This window comes from Homo sapiens, chromosome 2 (genome assembly GCF_000001405.40).
Source record: "Homo sapiens chromosome 2, GRCh38.p14 Primary Assembly".
NCBI classification, from domain to species: domain Eukaryota; kingdom Metazoa; phylum Chordata; class Mammalia; order Primates; family Hominidae; genus Homo; species Homo sapiens.
In genome coordinates this window covers 71,609,232-71,625,254 of record NC_000002.12, presented here as the reverse complement: position 1 = coordinate 71,625,254, position 16,023 = coordinate 71,609,232, and the positions used below count along the sequence as shown (strand labels likewise).

At 49.6% G+C, this 16,023-nt stretch overlaps 1 protein-coding gene across 14 annotated transcripts in view; it reads right to left on the bottom strand.

The window, feature by feature from the left end:
- The window catches only part of DYSF (dysferlin), a 233,203-nt gene that overhangs the window by 61,509 nt on the left and 155,671 nt on the right, over positions 1-16,023 (bottom strand). For 8 of the 14 annotated variants that reach the window (NM_001130979.2, NM_001130980.2, NM_003494.4 and 5 more), the window contains 4 exons: positions 13,909-14,010; positions 13,629-13,790; positions 12,449-12,614; positions 11,845-11,921 (listed from right to left, as the gene is read on the bottom strand). In NM_001130979.2, the coding sequence (NP_001124451.1) occupies positions 11,845-11,921; positions 12,449-12,614; positions 13,629-13,790; positions 13,909-14,010 (507 nt within the window). Of the gene's footprint in view, positions 1-4,645; positions 4,709-11,844; positions 11,922-12,448; positions 12,615-13,628; positions 13,791-13,908; positions 14,011-16,023 lie in introns of all 14 variants that reach the window. The other 6 variants (NM_001130981.2, NM_001130978.2, NM_001130977.2 and 3 more) reach the window with 1 other exon arrangement.

Below are 16,023 nucleotides of genomic sequence, written 5' to 3'. Positions count from 1 at the left end.
TTTCTAAACAAGAGAGAGAGAAAGAGATAAAGTGATAACCCAAGATATCTAGAATACATATAATAGGAATTTCAGATTGAGAGAGCTTAAAAATGACTTGAATGTAGAAATTAAAGAAACTAATCTATTATAATATCAGCAGAATTTTTAAAGAGCTGGTTCTTTGGATGGAAAACAACTATAAAATAGATGAAACGATATGAAGCCTAATAAAAAAGGAAAATAACATAAATACATAAAATTAAGAATGAAGATGAAAACAGAATAGATACAAAGCTTTCATTATAGTAATATGTACAAATTTATACCAGTGTTAACAGGCAGTATCTGATGACATCTCAGCTACCAAATTGATTGAAGAAGTACAAAATGATCAAAGAATCCCCTCCAGAAAATGTGTTGAGCCCAGTTTTACGAATGCATACAAGACAGTTGCATCTTATACAATTATATAAGATATGCGTTCCTGAAAATCTTCTATAATTCAAAACATATAACACCATTTTAGAGAAAAAATGATGGCTATCCCGTGTTAGGAAACCATAGATACAATTTCACCACCTTTTAAATTACATGATTGTCGGTCATTTTTTTTAAATTTAGGTTTCCTACTATTACACATTTTGTACATAAAGCCAAACTATTGAAATATTTGTATCATATAATTTCCAAATTGCATAATTTAAGTTCATAAACAGTGGCTCTGGTGTATTTTAGGGCCTTTCAGCAACAATAATTATCATGCCACAGAGCCTGTTTAAGAGCACAGAAAGTAGAAGTACACCTGAAAAGCCTTTTAAGGGACTAGTATAACCCCGATATCAAAGTGTAACAAAGACAACTCGAAAGTCATACTTATTAATAGAGACGTAAAAATCCTAAGTAGTAGCAAACCTAACTCAATAATACATAATAGAAGCTCTCCTTAAAACTTCTTAGCCAGGATTAACAAATGCTGTCTGTCCTGTCTGCCAACAATCTGCCTGAGGTCCAGAACCACTGACTGTCCACAGCTGTTCTAGGATGCCCACTGCAGCTCCAGAAGATGAGCTGGGTTGTACTAATATGGTAATTGGATAAACAAAGTATATATTTAAAAACACATAGAATTTGAATATAAAAAGGAAGGGCATTGTATCTATGAAAACTAATTTAAGGCTTTTGTGTTTTGGTGAGGTTGTTTGTTGCAACAAGGTCTCACTTTGTCACCCAGGATAGAGTGCAGTGATGCTATCACGGCTCACCGCAACCTCGTCCTCTGGGGCTCAAGCAATCTTCCCACCTCAGCCTCCTGAATAGCTGGGACTACAGGCATGTGCCACCACACCTGGCTAATTTTTGTATTTTCTGTAGAGACAGGGTTTCACTATGCTGCCCAGGCTGATCTCAACTCCTGTGCTCAAGCAATTTGCCTACCTCGACCTCCCAAAGTGCTGGATTACAGGCAAGAGCCACCACACCTGGCTTGCTTTTGATTTTTTTTTTAAGTGATGAATATCAAGTACAAGTGAGATAACATAAAAGGTGGAAGGGCATCTTAAACTTTAAGAGGACTCTACACTCAGATTTTTTTTTTGCAAGTATCGTTAAGTTCTCATCAAATTTTAATAAACCTAAAACTAAAAATCCTGGATAATGCATTTTGGATATGATTTATACCAAAAGGATGACATGACACACAAGTCAGCACATCCAAATTCAAAAAGAGGGTGTGGCACATGTCAAATGATTGGCAAATAAAGTTACATGGACATGGTTAAAAACAAAATGTTTGTGGTACATTTGCAGGACTTTTAATCAGTAAACTATCGCAAGAACAAAAAACCAAACACCGCATATTCTCGCTCATAGGTGGGAATTGAACAATGAGATCACGTGGACACAGGAAGGGGAATATCACACTCTGGGGACTGTTGTGGGGTGGGGGGAGGGGGGAGGGACAGCATTGGGAGATATACCTAATGCTAGATGACGAGTTAGTGGGTGCAGCGCACCAGCATGGCACATGTATACATATGTAACTAACCTGCACAATGTGCACATGTACCCTAAAACCTAAAGTACAATTAAAAAAAAAAATAAGTCCCTATTTAATCAACTTTATCAATTAGCCAATCGACTACCTGTCTCGATTGCATTGGATAAGAAGGCTGCAACTGTAGTAAACTATAATACCATGACCAATTGACCGATTTGGGTTTACCCCAGGAATATAGCACAATTATACACTATATTAACAGACAATGGAAAATAAAATTATCATCTTAATAAATGCCAAATGACATTTGATAGAATTAAACTTCCATGACTAATTTTTAAGCTATTAATAAACTAACAATCAGCTAGGTGCGGTGGCTCACACCTGTAATCCCAACACTTTGGGAAGCCAAGGAGGGTGGATCATTTGAGGTCAGGAGTTCAAGATCAGCCTGGCCAAGATGGTGAAACCCTGTCTCTACAAAAATACAAAAATTAACAGAGTGCGGTGGTGGGCACCTGTAATCCCAGCTACTCAGGAGGCTGAGGCAAGAGAATTGCTTGAACCCAGGAGGCAGAGGTTGCAGTGAGCCAAGACAACACCACTGCACTCCAGCCTGGGCAACGGAGCAAGACTCCATCTCAAAAACAATAAAAAAATAAACAAACAAACAATAAAGGACACAACCTTGCCAAAATCAAATATCTGTCTGAAACCATCAATCATCATCCCAATTAATGGAAATCTGGTAGAGGCAGTCTCATTAGAATGAATGACTAAATAAGTCTGCTCAGCAGCATCTCAAATATCAAATGGTATTTGGAAAAAGGAATGAGGCATTACTATTAGAAAGAAACTAACACGTTTATCATTATTTGAAGAAAACAATCTTACCTACTTGGAAAACCAAACAGAATCAATTAACAATAGTCAGAACTAATAAATGGGCCTTAATAAAGAGTCAGTTCCAAAGTAAATATACAAAAATATTGTTTTCCTATATTCTAGCGATAGTTCGACAAAGTCATGAGGAAAACATATATTCCATTTAGAACAGCACCAAAGACCATAAAATGCCTAGGAATACACTTTAACAAGAAATGGCCTGAACAGATGTACCTGGGCGTAACAAAAAAAAAAAAAAAACAAAGAAATCATCTGAATGGACATATATAAAGTGAACTAAAATAAGTCCTTTAAGGGACAAAAGAAGACAATAGGAGAAATAAACAAATTAAATGGCAAATGATAGGGAGTAGTTAAAAGTTTACGAATGTTCATGTGACATGCAGTCATATCTTTAAAGAATATAAGAATAGGCTGGGTGTGGTGGCTCACGCCTGTAATCCCAGCACTTTGGGAGGCCGAGGCGGGCAGATCATGAGATCAGGAGTCCGAGACCAGACTGGCCAACATGGTGAAACCCCGTCTCTACTAAAAATACAAAAAATTAGCCACGTGTGGTGTTGCGCACCTGTAGTCCCAGCTACTCAGGAGGCTGAGGCAGGAGAATTGCTTGAGCCCAGCAGATGGAGGTTGCAGTGAGCCAAGATCATGCCACTGCACTCTAGCCTGGGCGACAAAGTGAGACTCCATCTCAAAAAATATATATATAATATACATAACATACATATTATACATATATTATATATACACACATACAAATATGGAAAAATATTCATATATACTTTTAAATTTAAAAAATCCAAATTATAAAAAAGTATGATTCCAATTTTGTTTTTAAAAAGTATTCATGTGAGTTTAAAAGATATCTAAAAAATCTAGGCACATCAAAACCCTAACAGTGCCTATCATAAACTGGTAGGAATAAAAGTGGTTTTAACTTCCTACTTGACACTTTTTGTGTTTTCCATATTTTATTTAAAATAGATAAATCAGAAAAAAATATGTATATCGATAGCCTCCTTCTAGAAGCTCATGAGACCCCCAGTACAACAGTGCCTCCTCTTGACACCATAAGTAGAATGTAACTCGCTGCCTTTAGCAAGTTCTGTCTCTTACGCCACCCTCCACAGGTCAGGGGCTCCCACTGGCCCTCACCATGGGACTTCAGGAGCGCATGCTGAAGGCCAGACATCAAAGTCATCTTCCTAGAGGGACCCACAGCCCAGAAAGATGACACCTAAGGAATCCACTCAGGCAAGCAGAAAGGAGCCCTGCTGGAAACTGCAGGAGCAGACTGTTGGCCCCAGCAGACCTCTTAGCACCCGAGGGGCCAGCCAGGGTTCCTCAGTCACACACATCCTTCACACATCAGGGAGGAGCACAGAAAGTCAGCCTGCCGTCTGAGGTCCCACGCCCAGAAGAGCCTTCTGGGGTCCCACACTCCAGAAGTCAGAGTCTAATTGAGAGATTTCCCCGCTTCCACTGGCCCATGCAGCCCCACCTAAGCCCCCAGCCCTCACACAGGTAAATAAGGTAAATCCCAGGAAGTAACCTAGGGGTGTCCATTTCTGAGCATCTACTCCATAGCTTTCTCTCACCCCTCCTTTTCAGTGAGGCAAAGATAGGTGACTTCCCTGCTAGGGCTCAGGAAATACCTCCTTTCTTCCCTCCCACTCTCCCCTCCCATTTCCCTCCTAACCCCCCTACCCCCAGCCCCACAAGGGAATACAAGGAGCCCACAAATAAGTAAACAGTACATACATGAGGACTGGATGGAGGAGAAGCCGTGTTAGTGGGGGCCAAGCTCGACAGACCGTCTGCAAGCTACAAATGAAACATGCTGGTTAGCAACAGGATTAGAGAACCCACTTTAGGGAAGGCTGGACAGTCTCCAAGAGGTAGCGCTCTCTGACCAGGCACCCTCTGCTCTTCCTCCAGGGAGAACATGTGCTTTGGAGTTGGACAAGCCTGGCTCCAACACCTCACCAGATGTGTGACTTTGAGCAAGCCCCTTGACCTCTCTGGGTCAGCGTCCTATCTGGAGAATGGGCCCAAAGCCCACCTCACAGGGCGACAGTGAGTATGAATGAGACGAAGGCTGTGCACGCCCAGCACAAGGCAAGGCACGTGGAAGGGGCTCAGCCAATGCCTGACTCTTGCCCACTCTCTCATATGTCCTCCCTCCCTCTCCAAAATCTGCCTATTTCAGGGACACTCCAACCCCAGCATCCTAACCTCTGAGCCACACCAACACTGCAGGGCATGGTTCCCAAAGCTACAGCAGGTTACTCAGTCTTCCCTCCTCCAGGACAAGAACCAGGGCATCATATGTCTTCCCCAAAACCTGACATCAGTGGGGACTTTAGGAGTCTTATAGTCCCACCTCCACTCCATGCTACAAATCACTTTCTGCATCCTTTTCTGAGCATCAGCTCCTTGCCTACAATCTCCCAGTACTGTGAATCAATCTCCCTGTACTGTGAATCCTTGGGCTGCAGCCTGAGGAGGGCCTCAGGGCTCAGGGCTGAAGGCAGGAAGACTTGTTCAGAGACCACTACGATACTCTAGGATAAGGGGATGGGGCTCTGGGTGAATGAGTACCAGGCTAGCAGGTGGGCAAGGTGAGAAGACGCATGCTAGGCAGAGGGAATCGCAAGCGCAAAGGTAGAGGGGAAGAAAGAAGCACAGCCCGTTCGAGAAAGAGCAAACGGGTCAGGAGGGTAGGTGCTGGGAAGCAGCCAGCTAGGACCCAGAGCTGCCGGGGCTGGCCCCTCAACCTCTAAGCCTTGAGCAGGGGGCTCTGGGAGGACTCCAAGGGGCGAAACCCCAGGCTGCCCTGCCTTCCTCAACAGGAAGATCCTGGAAGACACTCCCCCGATGCCCAAAGAAACCCACGGAAGGTGAAGCCCTGCTGGGCCCAGGAGGGACGTTTGGGGACTCGGATCCCTCCCTGCTCTGTGAAAAGACACATCACTGAGGGGCCCCTCAGGGCTGTTCAGAGCCAGAAGCATACGCAGGAGGGCAGAATCAGCCTTGGGCACCTAGCCAGGGCTGCTGGATGGCCCTGGGGTGCTGGCCACATGTCGTGTGACCCCTGGAATAGACTGGGTGAACTCCACGTGCCACCCCTAGCTGGCCAGAGACGGGCCTCGCCAGGCAGCAGCTCTGCCCCTCCCATTTGCATCCTGAACCCCACAGAAGCCTTACTGTTATTTTTAATGCAGTTCTTTTTTAGAAAGGTGAGAGGGAAACCGGCAGTTCACCAGAGCAAAATAAAGCTAAACATAGTGCTCCAAAGATCTGGTCCAGCTTCAGAAATTACACGTTCCCCTTTGGGACTCGGGCATAATTTGCCACTCCGGTTCTGGGAGCACGTTCCCACCTTCACGGCATCCCAGAGACTATAACTGGAGCAGCAGGCTCAAAATTAGCCCCAGCCCCAGCGCCTGGGAGCCTGGGAGCCTGGGAGTCCCAGAGCCGGCCAGCCCCAGCACCCACCCGACAGAGTGAGGAAACAGTCTCCCGAGGCCTCCTGCACACTAGCAGGCCAGGCCTGTCTCCTGCTGGCACCCCACGCTCACCACACACACAAAAAACACACTCACACGGACACACACCCACCACCTCTACTCCACATACACACCCACCTCTGCCACACACACCATCTCTACCACGCACACACACTCACATCCCTCTACCACACACACACCTCCTCTGCCACACACACCACCTCCTGTAACACACACACCACCTCTACCACACCCACCACCTCTACCACACACACACAACTCTACCCCACACAAACACACACTCCACCTCTACCACACACACACACCCCACCTCTACCACACACACACCTCTACCAAACACACACATCACCTCTACCACACACACACCTCTACCACACACACACAACCCCACCTCTACCACACACACCCCACCTCTACCACACACACACCACCTCTACCACACACACACACACCACCTCTACCACACATGCCACCTCTACCACACACACACCCCTCTACCACACACACACCCCATCTCTACCACACACACACACACCACCTCTACCACACACACACCTCTACCACACACACACACCTCTACCACACACGCCACCTCTACCACACACACACCCCACCTCTACCACACACACACATCCCATCTCTACCACACACACTTATACCCCACCTCTACCACACACACACACACACACCACCTCTACCACACACGCCACCTCTACCACACACACACCCCACCTCTACCACACACACACCCCATCTCTACCACACACACACCCCATCTCTACCACACACACACACACACACCATCTCTACCACACACACACACCCCATCTCTACCACACACACATATACCTCACCTCTACCACACAAACACCTCTACCAAACACACACACCACCTCTACCACACACACACCTCTACCACACACACACACCTCTACCACAAACACACCTCTACCACACACACCCCACCTCTACCACACACACACACCCCATCTCTACCACACACACTTATACCCCACCTCTACCACACACACACATATACCCCACCTCTACCACACACACACCACCTCTACCACACACACCACCTCTACCCCACATACACACACACCACCTCTACCACACACACACCCCACCTCTACCACACACGCACACACCCCACCTCTACCACACACACACCCCACCTCTGCCACACACACACCACCTCTGCCACACACATCACCTCTACCCCACATACACACACACCACCTCTACCACACACACACACACCACCTCTACCACATACACTCATACATACACACACGTACCCCTTTGCCACATAAAACATACACACAGAGTCCCACTTCCAAGCCTTTGCCCGAGCCCTTTTGCCTGCCAGGAAAGCCTCCCTGTCCTCCCCTGTTCACCCACCCGCCTCAGAGGCCGCCTTCCCGGAGAAGCTTCCCTGGTTGCTTAGCCTATGGTGAACTTGCAGGGCCAGGAGACTCCAAGAGTTTGGTCTCCTTGTTAATGAAACATCTCCTCACTTTGACATCACTCATTTGAGATCTTCTGGACACCCCCTCATCCCTTGTCTCTTTGTGACCAGAGTCGGAACTTCCTAAAAGTTATTTCTCTAATTCTTCAACACTCACATATTCCCACCTCCCGAAATTCTCCTTCTCTGAGGACTTGAAGAGGAGCCCCTCTACCTAGGAGTGCTCTCTCGGAATGCTAAGCAAGAGCCGCCCTTGCCATACCCAGCTGGCTCTGGGGGCATCTCAGTGCCTCAAAGGTGCGATTTCTGGGGGCACAGCCTCTATTTGGAGCTTCAAGACCCTCTATAGGAAATGGACAGGGGGTGGCAGGCTCTCTGTGTGTTCCTGAACACTGTTTTTCTTCCCCTAATCATAATCATAACACCAAGAACTGCCTTAATAAAAAAACAACAACAACTAGTGAACAAAGGCCTTAATTTTATTTTAAAGGTAGAAATGAAGTCAGAGACAGAATCAGAGACAGAAAGAGAAACCTAAAAAGAAGAGGAAAGAATGACAATGAAATGTTGGGTGCAGTGCATTCAAATTGTGTGTTTGGATGGAGGTAAGCCCTATTTTTTCATTATTTTTCTATATTTTCCAAATTTTATATAATGAACACGTATCATTTTATTATCTGAAAAAATGAATATATCGTTTTCTAAAGCAGAGAACTAGATGGAATAGGACACTTCTGCTCTCCCTGTGTGAGGACACACCCAGGCCTGCCCTCAGAAAGTTCAAAGTCAAGGCCACAATTCCTGCAATGCCACCACCAAGCTTAGACACACCTCTGGCCAGCACCCATGGAAGCTCGTGCACACACCTGCTCCTACCACCCCCACCTGTCATGCTCACTCATGTGCACACACCACCCCCACCCCTAGTCTGCCACTCTAAAGTCTACACATAGGATGGCTGCACAGACCAAGAACAAGTGGTGGAGTTAATACGTGTGAGTATTTCTCATCCCAATCCTCATCACCATGGAGAACAGTTTAAACAGGCCAGGCACCCCCTAAACAGGGCCCCCCACCCTTACCCTTAGAGACAGACACTGATCTACGAGCCCTGGGATGCTGAGCACAGACCTGCCTTATACACGTTTTGAGTCACCTCCAGAATTGGCCACTCTCGACACAAACCAAAACATTTCTAGAAACCTAAGAAATACTCCGTGGTGAGTGCCAGCCCATGGCCTGAACATCAGGCAAGGGTCTCCGGTGACATGTTCTAAATGTGTGGCCAGCTCATCCCAGGACCTAGGCAGATGCTGGTAAGAAGGCTTTGGGAGCAGAGAGAAGGTGTCACGGAGGAAAGTGACAGGAAGGGACCAAGATGGAAGGGTAACTCTGGCAAGAGCAGGTTTGAGCTAGGAGGGGTCCTAGGACCACAGCCAGGACACAGTGAACACATCCAGCACCAGCCAGGGCTGCATCAACTGTGAGGATGGAACAGGCTGCCGAGAAACACCGGTGGGGCAGACAGAAGCCAGCCAAAATCCAGATTCTGCCAGACCTCTCGTCCCTCCTGTCCCCAGAAGCCAGGGCCCTTCATGCTATCTGCACTGGGGAAGGAGGGAGAGGAAGAAAGCCCAGCCATAGTTATCTAGCAAACCACTGGAACTGCACCCGGGGTCAGCTGCCTCCTGGGTTGGCCTTGGAGCGCCTGTCCTTCAGAGTGCCAGGGACAGGGAGGAGAGGCGAGTGAGTGAAAGATTTCCTGGATCAGCCAAATCAGAGCAATAGATCTCAGAGAAAAACATGGAACAAAGTCAGATACCAGAAAAGGGGCTTCCCCAGAGGGCCAGGGCTCCCTGCAGAACAGAACTGGTCTCCCTGCTGGGTTTGAGGCTTTTGAGAACAGAGTTTTGTCTCTTTCATCAGACAGGGAGCTCCATGAGGGCAAGGTCCAAGCCTCCCCCATCAGAGCAAATCAGTGTCATTTCCTCCTCCTCCCCTGTCCCAGGCCAGGGGAGGCCCAGCCCCTCCCCAGGTGGGTACACCTCCAGGAGCCCCATCCCAGCTCCCACCAGTGCTGCTGGTCTGGCCAGCAGCTCTAGCCAGAGTGGCCGTGTGCTCCCACAAACAGCACAGGCCCAGCTCTGGCTCAGATCCCAGCCCCAGTTCCCTCATGTCAACGCCGGGAGGATGGCCAGGCTGGGCCTCCTCATCGTCTGCCTCTGGCTGTGCTTGTGGCCAGCAGGACCTAAAATAGTCCCTCCCCATCTGAGTGTGTAGACATTTTGAGGGCAGCACACACAGAACGGAAATCCTGCTGGGCAGGCCCTGCACTTCCCTGCACAATCTCAGACAGGCCCATGGAGCAGCCGGGAAACAGGAGCCAGGAGCAGGCAGCCAGAGTTTGGGGCAAATTATCTGCCTAATTCAGCTATAAACACCCAAGCAGCCCAGAGGCACTAGCACTGAGTTTAGCTAAATTTCACATAGGGACATCTGAAATTTCCATTTGGGTTTCCCCAGCCAAGAGAGAGATTCCTCCTCAGATCCATACAGACAGTAGCCAGAAAATTCGTCCATCCATCCATCAACCCATGCACCCATCTACCCACTTGCCAAGACAGACAGACTTTCATTAACACCTCCGCTAAGCGAGGCCTTGTGCTGAGCATTGAGAATACAAAGAGGAAGGAGCCGCAGTTGCTCCCCTGAGCTTAGCCTGGGGAATATGCTAACATTGACAGAGACAGCAGGCCCTAGAGCAGCACAGTGACCCAAAGATAGGCAAGTCTCACAGGAGAAGAGGAGCCAGGAAAGACTCCCCCAAAGAAGCGACCATGCCTAAGTTAAGTCTTAAACAATGATCAAGAGTTGGACAAGGGACAGGGGGCAGGAGGTCTTCCCAGCAGAAAGGCTGGCAGGGCAGAACCCTGGAGAGCCACAGAGGCTGGAGAGATGGAACACAGGGCTTCTGAGGACTTTTAGCATCAGTGAAACTACAGATGCAGCAAGGCCCGAGGACACAGGTGTTGTCTATACAGGCCTGGAGGCTCTGCCTCTGGGTGGCCCAGAAGTTCTGGGAGCCCCAGGGTGCCAGGGGTATGACCAGTATCTTGCAAAGCCCAGAGAGGAGGGTGACAACCTGGAACAGATGGTGAGTTCAAGGCTGGTGCTCACAGTGAGACCTTTCTCCATGTCTACTGTGGGAAGGACCAGATGGGCTCAACCCTACAGAATCCAGAGCCACTCCATGGCCCACAGTCGGGGGAGCGCTGCCCCTCAGCACAAGGTGCCACAGACCTCCTGCCATGCTCTGTGGCATTGGCATCTGCATCACAGGCTGGCCCTCAGTTGCTGAGTATGCAGCAAAAGGAAGACTCCTACCTCCCCCAGGGCTGGAGACCTTAGAATAAGGCCCCTCCCTGCCTCCTTCCTCCTTTTCCCTGCAGATGGAGGAATGGGGCGAGATAGACTCTTGGCTTGGACACAGCCTCTTCTTTCTAAGCTGTCTCCAAGGAGCCACCAAGCACAAGCCCACAGAACAACCTTCCCCCTAAGAAGGGGCCTGTCCCAGATAGGGAGATGGGGCTGGAGGACCCCAGAGATGGCCCACTCACTCCCTCCCCTGTCGTCCTTCTCTCATTTGCTCCTCACCCTGATTTTCTGGTGATCTCCAGGAGAAAGCCCTCACCATGGCCCCCAGGGTAGATGGCCTATTTTTCACATATGCATCCAAGAAAAGGGATTGAGTCTTGCCCAGATGAGCACACCCCACCCCCCTCAGCCAGACTGAAAGCTCCCATCTGGGTCTCTCTACTGGACAGTGTCCAACCGCAGAGCCCAGAAGGGGATGTGTATAGAGGCTGTGTGATAATGAAGGGTAGGGGAGAAGGGGTGGGAATTGATGAGGAATGGAGGGGAAAGGTGACCCAGGCCTCCCTGGAGGATGCCCATCCTACCTGGATGGGGATGAGGGGCTCCTTGTCATCAATGTCGATGAGCACGTCTTCCCCAGGACTGAGTAGGCTCACATCGTCTGCAGGGGAGGGAGCCATCCAGGCCTGAGAGGGGCTCTCTCAAAAGGCTCGCCCCTCACCAGCCCCAGGGCTCAACCAAGGGACCAAGACAAGACCCTGCAGTCTCTCCACATTTCTCAGTCGGTATCTCTCTCTTCCTACTTCCCAATAAGTCCCTCTCTCATCTCCATCTCTCCCATCCTCCTTCACATGCTCTGTCTCCCACTTCTGTCTTCCTCTCCTCACATTTCTTTCCTCCCTCCCCGCATCATTGTCTCCCTGCCCTCTCTCTCCCTCCCCCTGGGCCCACTTTGAGCCCTCACCCCTCAGCTCCAACGGGTATCAGTCACCTGCTCCTGGTGCCCCCCACCCAGAGCTAGGCTCTGCCCTAAGGAAGGTCTCCACCCTGTGGTCTAGCAGAGCAGAAACCACTTCTCATTCAGGTCTCCGTAAGAGAAGGGTTTCAGGATGCATCTCAACTAGGAAGGGTAGCTTGGCCCTGAGGCTCCCCCTTCCCTGACCTGCCCATCATCTCCCCTTCCCCTACCTGGGCCACCCTGTGGGGATGGACTCTCCGCCGAGTAGGGGTCACACAGGAAGCTCTCCAGGGAGCGGATGGTACACTGGCCCACCACAGGCCGGCGGCCAAACTGGCGGTTATCGATGACCTTGACGGTGATGGGGGGGCAGTAGAGCTCCTCCCTGGGCAGCATCTGGGTGGAGGAGGAAGAACGCACTGGCCTGAATCCCCCTCTGGGAAGTCTCCAGGTCAAGCCCAAAGAGCAGAAAATGACTATAAACCGCAGATAATCCCCACAGCCAGAAATCCAAAATGGTGGCTGGCCCAGAGCTGGGCAGTCGAGCGAAGCCACACACCTTTTCTGTCGGCCCCTTGAATGCTGCATGCAGAGGCCGGCTTTCCCCCCACAGCTTTACCTTCCAAATGCATCCTGTTCAGCCTGAAGTGGAAACGAGGCTGCGCTCCCTCACTGGCTGGGGAGCGGGCGAGGGGAGTTGGCCCGGGACTCAACATTTCTTACAGACAGTCCCCCCAAGTGGATACTCAAGAGTTGGCTTACAGACCCAGATTCTTCCCCCCACACACCCCAAAAGCACTTTGAACACAACTTGAAATAATTTATATGCTCTCCTTCAGGGGCGGCTTTGGCTCGGCCAAGAGGAGGCTTCTGTTGACAGCCACTGGGCCTGGAATTTCTACAGCGCTTTCATCTTGCAAACCATTTTCTTTTCCTCAGACCTGCCTTACTCTGGCCACTAGGTCTAGGCATCCCAGGGAGGTGGAGAGGCCTGGAGGGCCTGAGGGCTGTGGGGGTGAGCTCCTTTGAGGGGGCCCAGGCTGGGGGAGGACATGGTCAGAAAAGGTTTGGAGGAATCCTGGAAAGCCAAGCCCTAGCAGGTCCCCAAGGGCGCTCCAGGGGACTGAAACCTGTCCCAGAGGGACAACAGCCAGGGGATGTCTCCTTGGGACTTTCGCTGATCTAGGATTTGGGTATAGGAGGAGCAGGTTGGCCCCGTTTGTCCTACTCAGAGGCCTGAACCCTTCCAGTGAGGAGGGTATGAGCATTTCTCCCCATGTTCACAGGAAAGTGAGGGGTCCTACCCTGGATCCCGCAGGGAATTGGAGCACAAGCCCCAGGCTGCTCGGGGACATGTAGAACTTCTAGCCCCAGGACTCTGGAAGGGGACAGTAGGGAGGTGGGGCTCACCACTTCCATGAAGAGGGTGCAGATGTCAAAGTTGGGGTTCTTCCGGAGGTTCCTGATGACACAGGACTGCACCGTCTGGCCCCCACACTCTACCACGAGGCTGGGGGAGGAGATGTTGGCCAGCTGGTAACTCTTCATGTTCCGCAGGCCCCATGCCAGGATCTAAGCACACAGAATGAGGAGAGTGGCTCAGAAGGCCCCGGGCCCCAGGAAAGGCTGGGGCCAGGAAGGGGAAGGGCAGGCTGCTCCCAGCCCCCACGCCCAGGCCCGGACGGCTCACCTCGATGGCGGTACGCTGGAGCGCTGGCTTGATGTTCTGAGGAACCATGTAGATGTTGGCCTCCCTCTGGGGTGGTGGGTAGGGCAGGTCTGTGTCCTCAGACTGCAGTGGACAGCAGGTAGAATGGAGACAAAGGTGGAAGGAAGACCAAGGCAAAAAGACAAGAGAGAAGGACAGATAGGACAGAAAGAAATGCCAAGTGCAGGGAGAAACAGAGAAGGAAAGACAGAAGTGGACAAACAGGGAGGCAGAAACGAAAAAGCTAAGTCAGTTTCGGCCAGGCATCATCTTCTCCAGGATCACAATTCCAGCACCTTCATCCAGGGTTCAGGTCACCTTGTTCCAACTGAATCCCGTCACCCCTCCTCCCATAATGCAGGCTCTGATGCCCCCTGAGCTGCTCCGGGTCTGCCCCTCCCTGATACGCACACAGCATATGCGTGCACACACTGCCTATTCCATCCTGGCAGATCCACTTCAGCCCCTCTCAGTCCCAGAGAGGACCATGTGCCTGCCCGCCAGCCTGGTTCTCCTGCCTCCTGGCTCAGACCCTTCCGGGTTATCATCTGTCCTGGTATTTCTTCCCCACCCCTAGACACCTTCCAGCCCCAAACCCCCACCTCTCACGCCTGTCCCCTGTGAGGACAGAATACTTGCATTGTGAGCCAGAAAGAGAACAACTGAGCAATGGGAGAAGGGGCTCCCCAGAGCACCAAAGCACACTGCTGGGGAGGGTCTCTCTCCACTACAGAGACGAGCAAGTGTGTGTCAATTCTGGCCTACTAAGAGTTTGCCAGAAAGAGTTGGGCAGGAATCCTCAATGATCACAAAGAACTACATGAGGAAGCAAGGTGGGGCAAGGGAGGCAGGTACTGCCTTAGATAGTTAACCACCAATAACAGCAGTTAGGAACACAGGTGTGAGTCCTAACTCCACTATGTATGACGTTAAATAAATTATTTCACCTCCTATAGCTGAATGTTTTCATCTATAAAATGGTTAGCAAAAGTTGTCAACCTCTAAAGGTTAGGGTGAGGGTTGAGGAAGTTAATACCTGTATAACCTTTAGAGCTTCATGTAAACCTTCAACAGGACTATTAGCCCATGTGGTGTCTTTGTGACAATTAGAGAAAAATGTGCTTAAGACTCTTTACTTCCATGTCAGAAAGTTGTCATATTTTCTGAGTTTATTAGAACAAGACACTTTACTGCCACCTATTGGGAAATTGTTATAATAAATACAAGTATATGGTGTCTGTGCTAGAAATGCAGCCCCTTAGACACAGTGTCCTTGTGCAGTGCCCAACCTGCACATCCATACATGGAGGGCCTGACACTCCGGAAATGTTAACTATAATTAAAAGGACTGTGATAGACACTTTACAGAGCTTGCCTCATGTAATCTCATTTATTAAACAATGAAATCATTGGATTCATTCTCCAAGTGACTTCTGTTGGGTTCCTTCTGCGAGGATGGTACATCCATACAGACGCTCTGCCATAGATGGTGGGAGCAGTCAAAGCAGAGAAAGATATCAGCTTCCCCCCACCTCCATGAATCACTTCACAGCCAACCCAAGCCACACTCCTGTGCAGCGACACCCTGATGACACCATGTTTCCCCCAACCTACAGCAGTTGGAAGCTTAGTCCTAGAATCAGACCTCAACTCTAGTTCCAGCTCTGCCACCTCCTCGCCATTAGGCCTTGGACAGATTACTCAACTTCAGTGACTCAGTATTCTCAGATGAAGATCTGAGATAAGCTGCTCCGAGAATTAAATGAGAGAACACATCTGAAGAGCGCCTGGCACACAGGAGGCGCTTAGTAAATGGCTGTGACTGTAACTATTACTAGAATTGTTGTTAGTACCATTGTTTTTGCCATTGGTGTTGGTGTTGATCTCCCCAGGGTGACTTCAAGAGAGCTGAGCCATTAGAAGCATCTTTCAGAGCAACACTGGCTTTATTACTATCTCTAAGTCACCAGGGCATAAAGCAAAAAAACTTATCATTTTCCTCCAGACCCACAATGCAGGTGACATGATGCAGGAAGCACCTGCATTCCTGACCGTCTGATAAGCAGGGGTGATGGACAGGGCTGCTGCAGTGCACAG